This window comes from Homo sapiens, chromosome 16, assembly GCF_000001405.40.
Source record: "Homo sapiens chromosome 16, GRCh38.p14 Primary Assembly".
Taxonomy (NCBI): Eukaryota; Metazoa; Chordata; class Mammalia; order Primates; family Hominidae; genus Homo; species Homo sapiens.
This window is the reverse complement of record NC_000016.10, coordinates 24407245-24413244: the sequence shown is the minus strand read 5'-3', so window position 1 is coordinate 24413244 and position 6000 is coordinate 24407245.

Genomic DNA, 6000 nt, shown 5'->3' with positions numbered 1-6000 from the left:
TGCATGTGTATGTCTGTGCCCTGGAGATGGGACTGGGTGAGGGTGTTGGTTGGTGGCACTTACAATACAAACATCCCCTCCATAGTTTGTTCTCCTTTAAACTGAATTTGGTTTCACAAATGTGATGTGGCCAACTAATGACAGTGGTGTTGTAGTCACCATCAGGAAAGAAAATCCTACCTGTGGCTTTAGTCATTACAGTTTAGTCCCACTATTTTCATTGTCTATGGACAATGAAAAGTGATCACTGGTTTTAACGTGGAGCCTTTGATTTTCATTTTCTAAATTAAAAAATATTTTTTGATTCAGCAGATGAACTGTGACACACTCCTTAGCAGATTTCAACTTCTATGGCCATGGCCATCATCCTGAACATGGAGGCTTTAAAAATGTCTTGGCTGGATGCGGTGGCTCATGCTTATAATCCCAGCACTTTGGGAGGCCATGGTTGGAGGATTGCTTGAGCCTAGGAGTTCAAGATCAACCTGGGCAACATGGTGAGATCCCAGCTCTACAAAAAATTTAAAAATTAGCTGGGCATGATGGCAAGCGCCTGTGGTCCCAGCTACTGGAGAGGCTGAGGTGGAAGGATCACTGGAACCCAGGAGTTCAAGGCTGCAGTGAGCTATGATTGTACCACTGCACTCCAGCCTGAGTGACACAGCGAGACTCTGTCTTTTTTTTTTTTTTTTTTTTTTTGAGACAGAGTTTCCCTCTTGTTGCCCAGGCTGGAGTGCAATGGTGCGATCTCAGCTCACCGCAACCTCTGCCTCCTGGGTTCAAGCGATTCTCCTGCCTCAGCCTCCCGAGTAGCTGGGATTATAGGCATGCACCACCATGCCTGGCTAATTTTGTATTTTCAGTAGAGATGGGGTTTCTCCATGTTGGTCAGGCTGGTCTCAAACTCTCGACCTCAGGTGATCCACCTGCCTCGGCCTCCCAAAGTGCTGGGATTACGGGCATGAGCCACGGAGCCCGGGCCGAGACTCTGTCTTTAAAAAAAAAAAAAAGAATGTTTCCTTGACACTAGCCCCAAAAGCTGCTGAAAAAGTCAAAAGGATGTGTATAAATTAACTCCAAGGCCACAGTCTTCCTGGACCCAGGATCCTCCCTGAATTCATAACCATCTCAATGGTGCTCAGTTACAGTGTCCACTTAGGCCCTACAGAGAGGGTTTAATATAATAATGGAGGTTCAAACCACACAACACTTGAGACATAAAATTCCTTAGACATGGCACTACTCACTTTTACACTATGAATTTCTTTTATCAGTTTAATCCTTTGTTCCTCCAGAGCAATTAAAGCTCTCTTTTTACTTTTGTATTTTAAATACAATGGGAGGTGGGGGTGAGGTGGGGCAACCCTCCAGGTGTATTCACTGGCTGGAACTTGGGTTCTTTCTTCCATCCTCAGAGCAGAGATTCTCAGCCCAGACTGCACATTAAAACCACCTAGAAGGCTGGGCGCCGTGGCTCCCGCCTGTAATCCCAGCTCTCTGGGAGGCCGAGGAGGGTGATCACCTAAGCTTGGGAGTTTGAGACCAACCTGACCAACATGGAGAAGCCCCATCTCTACTAAAAACACAAAATTAGCTGGGCGTGGTGGCGCATGCCTGTAATCTCAGCTACTCGGGAGGCTGAGGCAGGAGAATTACTTGAACCCGGGAGGCAGAGGTTGCGGTGAGCCGAGATCGCACCATTGCACTCCAGCCTGGGCAACAAGAGCGAAACTCCATTTCAAAAAACAAACAAACAAAAACAAACAAACAAACAAACAAAAAAACCCAAAAAAGCCACCTGGGGGCTTGGAAAAAAAAAATCACCAGGCTCTATCCCTAAAGATTCAGGTTTCATTGGCCTGGGGTCTCTTGGGTATGGAATAATTTTAGTGAGTGTTCCTTCCACGTCACCTGGAGATTTTACTCTATATCGCTTGTAGAGTAAAATCCCCCTCCTTTGCCTGTTTATTGATGTTAAACACACTCTTGGGGTCCCTAACTTCATGGCCATCACCTAGGCTTTAGAAACATCCCAATCTGGGTGAGAAGTGGCATGTAAGGAGGAGCATGGGTATTGAAGACTAATACCATTTGCCCACCCCCAGACCCGCACCCTGGCTCCTCATCTGCTTCCGGGTGAGCCTGCCTCAGTCCTACAGTTAAGCGAAACTTGAAGCCTCCCAGTGTGTGACTGAGTTCCTTCCCAGTGCTGGGATCTGTCCAGTGGTGTGCTGGGGCTGGCTTATAGGGATGATTGTTAAATTTCCAGGGTTTTTGAAAGCTGGCTATTAAACACAGCCATTATTAAAAATCAAATTTTATAAACTTATAATTAACTAAATTATATTTTGAAAGGTAATAAATAATTGAATTGCTTCCTAATAATTTTGTTGTACTATTATCTATACTTTTTTTTTTTTTGAGATGGAGTTTTGTTCCTATTGCCCAGACTGGAGTGCAGTGGCACTATCTCAGCTCACCTCAACCTCTGCCTCCCGGGTTCAAGCGATTCTCTTGCCTCAGCCTCCTGAGTAGCTGGGATTACAGGCATGCACCATCACTCCCAGCTAACTTTGTGTTTTTAGTAGAGAAAGGGTTTATCCATGTTGGTCAGGCTGGTCTTGAACTCTCAACCTCAGGTGATCCACCTGCTCAGCCTCCCAAAATGCTGGGATTACAGGTGTAAGCCACCACACCCAGCCTATTAACTATACTCTTGAAGTCCATAAATACATACATATAAAGATGTCTATGTATCTCTCTCTATAACATATATGATATATTTAGTATATATCTACATAAATTTTGTGGCAATACTATATAATGGGGTGCTACTGAGCATCTGTTCCCAACTTGCAGGTCACCATTCAGTGACAACATATTGGTGTAGCTTAAAATCAGCCACAGTTGAATATTTACACCATGGTAATCAGATAACACTTTGAGTCTCAATCAAAGCAAGAACTGATTGACCATTTCTCTCTTTTTTTATTAGATGTCTAGACTTTAGAAAGTGATAGAGAAAACTTTAATAATGCAGAAGAAATGTCAATGTGTGTTTTGTCTGTAGTGGTTATGTTGTGAATGGCAGAAAGCATTGTCAAATCATGACTGAATTGTAATCATATTAACTACATATACAAGAGTTCAGCAAAATTCAACAAAAGCATTCTGTAAGAATTCAGCGGCTATGCGTAATTTAAGATGAAGAGCATTTTCATGCTTTATAGTTATTTTTAAAGTGTGTGATACACATTCTTTTCTTTTTTTTTTTTTTTGAGACAGGGTCTTGCTCTGTTGCCCAGGCTGGCATGCGGTGGCACCATTACGGCTCACTGAAGACTCCAACCCCTGGCTCAAGGGATCCTCCCACCTCAGCCTCCCAAGTAGCTGGGAGTACAGGCATGCAACATGACACTTGGCCAATTTTTAAATTTTTGGTGGGGATGGGTTCTCCCTATGTTGCCGAGGCTTGTCTTAAACTCCTGGCCTCAAGTAATCTTCCTGCTTCAGCCTCCCAAAGTTCTGTGATTACAGGCATGAGCCACTGTGCCTGCCTTGCTACACATTCTTGATATCAATACAGTTCGTAATAAACATACATATGTAACTACATGCGTGCCTTTTTCCCCCTCAGAGACACCTGTTAAACATTTTCTAGCACCACTGACTCTGGCTGCCCAAGAAGGCTTTGGCCAAAAGGAGTGCTGCGCAGTAATGCCACCTCAACTTCCTGTCAAGCTGAGATTCCCACTTTGCGAAGGTCCTCTCCTATGGCGGGAACTGTGCTTCTTCCACCTGGGACTTTGCCCCAAAGTGCAGTTATTAATAGTTTGTTATAGAGAGACATCCTCCCAGGAGCTGGCCACCCAGAATTCCTGCCTCCTGTGCACACTCATTTCTCTGTGCCAAATCACCCAATGTGAGATGCATCTTGGTGCAGGAAAGAAACAGGTAATGATGACTGGCATCCTGCGCCCCTGAGTCCTCAGCCTCCTGCTCTCTGCTGGATGTCAAGAGAATTGCATTAGAGAGATGTTCACTCCAAGCAAAGCATTCTCTAAGAAATGTTTCATTACGTCGGGCCTCCAACGATCTCCTTTAGAACCACCCAGGCAACATGTACATTACTGGACCTTACCCAGGGAGAGTCTGCAATTTTAACTGCCCCATTCATTCACTTATTGAGTGCCTGCTGTTTGTCAGGCACTGTTCTAGGCTCTGGATGTGCCAGGGAACAAAACAGACAATGATCCCTGATATGGTTTGGATCTGTGTCCCTGCCCAAATCTCATGTCAAATTGTAATCCCCAATGTTGGAATTGGGGCCTGGTGGAAAGTGATGGATCATCGTTGCCACCCTGCTTTGGCATTGTTGTGGCAAATAGTGAGTGATTAAGTTATCACGAGATCTGGTTGTTTAAAAGTGTGTAGCACCTCCCTCCTCTCTCCTCTTTCTCCTGCTCCAGTCATATGAGACATGCCTGCTTCCCCTTTGCCTTCTGCCATGATTGAAAGTTTCCTGCCAGGCGCGGTGGCTCATGCCTGTAATCTCAGCACTTTGGGAGGCCGAGGCGGGCGGATCACGAGGTCAGGAGATTGAGACCATCCTGGCTAACACGGTGAAACCCCATCTCTACTAAAAATACAAAAAATTAGCCAGGTGTGCTCGTGGGCGCCTGTAGTCCCAGCTACTTGGGAGGCTGAGGCAGAAGAATGGCGTGAACTCAGGAGGCAGGGCTTGCAGTGAGCCGAGATTGTGCCACTGCACTCCAGTCTGGGCGACAGAGCGAGACTCTGTCTCAAAAAAAAAAAAAAAAAGGAAAGTTTCCTGAGGCCTCCCCAGAAGCCGCTATGCTTCCTGTACAGCCTGCAGAACTGTGAGCCACTGAAATCTCTTTCCTTTTTAAGTTACCCACTCTCAGGTAGTTCTTCATAGCAGTGCGAGAATGATCTAATACAATCTCTGTTTGCACGGAGATTATAGTTAATGATGGCCAGGCGCGGTGGCTCATGCCTGTAATCCCAGCACTTTGGGAGGCCGAGGTGGGTGGATCATCTGAGGTCAGGAGTTTGAGACCAGCCTGGCCAACATGGTGAAACTCCATCTCTGCTAAAAATAGCCATGCCTAGGCCAGGCGCGGTGGTTTACGCCTGTAATCCCAGCACTTTGGGAGGCCAAAGCGGGCGGATCATGAGGTCAGGAGATTGAGACCATTCTGGCTAACATGGTGAAACCCTGTCTCTACTACAAAAAAAAATAATAAAATAAAAATTAGCCAGGCTTGGTGGTGGGCGCCTGTAGTCCCAGCTACTTGGGAGGGTGAGGCAGGAGAATGGCGTGAACCTGCGAGGTGGAGCTTGCAGTGAGCCAAGATTGCGCCACTGCACTCCAGCCTGGGTGACACAGCGAGACTCTGTCTCAAAAAAAAAAAAAAAATAGCCATGCCTGGTGGCATGCAGCTGTAATCCTAGCTACTCAGGAGACTGAGGCACAAGAATCTCTTAAACTTGGGAGGCTGAGGTTGCAGGGAGCCAAGATTATAGCCAGTAAGGAAACCCCTAATAGACAAAATATTTAAGTAAAAATATATAGTATATTAGCTAGTAATAAGCACTAGGCAGAAAAATAAAGCCAAAAATGGGGGAAAGAGGTATGAATATGACATTTGAGCATACATGTAAAGACCTAAAGGAAGTCTTTAGAGTGAGGTGACTTAGAGTCAGCCTTGCTGAATATTGTGGGGAAAAGTGCTCCTGGCAGATGGAACAGCAAATACAGCAGCCCTGACCTGGGAAGAGAAGGAAGCCAGTATGGCTGAAGAATCCTCAGAAGATTCTTTTGCACACAAAAATCGAGAACCCAGGCCAGGCACAGTGGCTTACGCCTGTAATCCCAGCAGTTTGGGAGGCCAAGGTGGGCGGATCATGAGGTCAGGAGTTCGAGACCAGCCTGGCCAAGAGACCAACCTGGCCAATATGGTGAAATCTTGTCTCTAC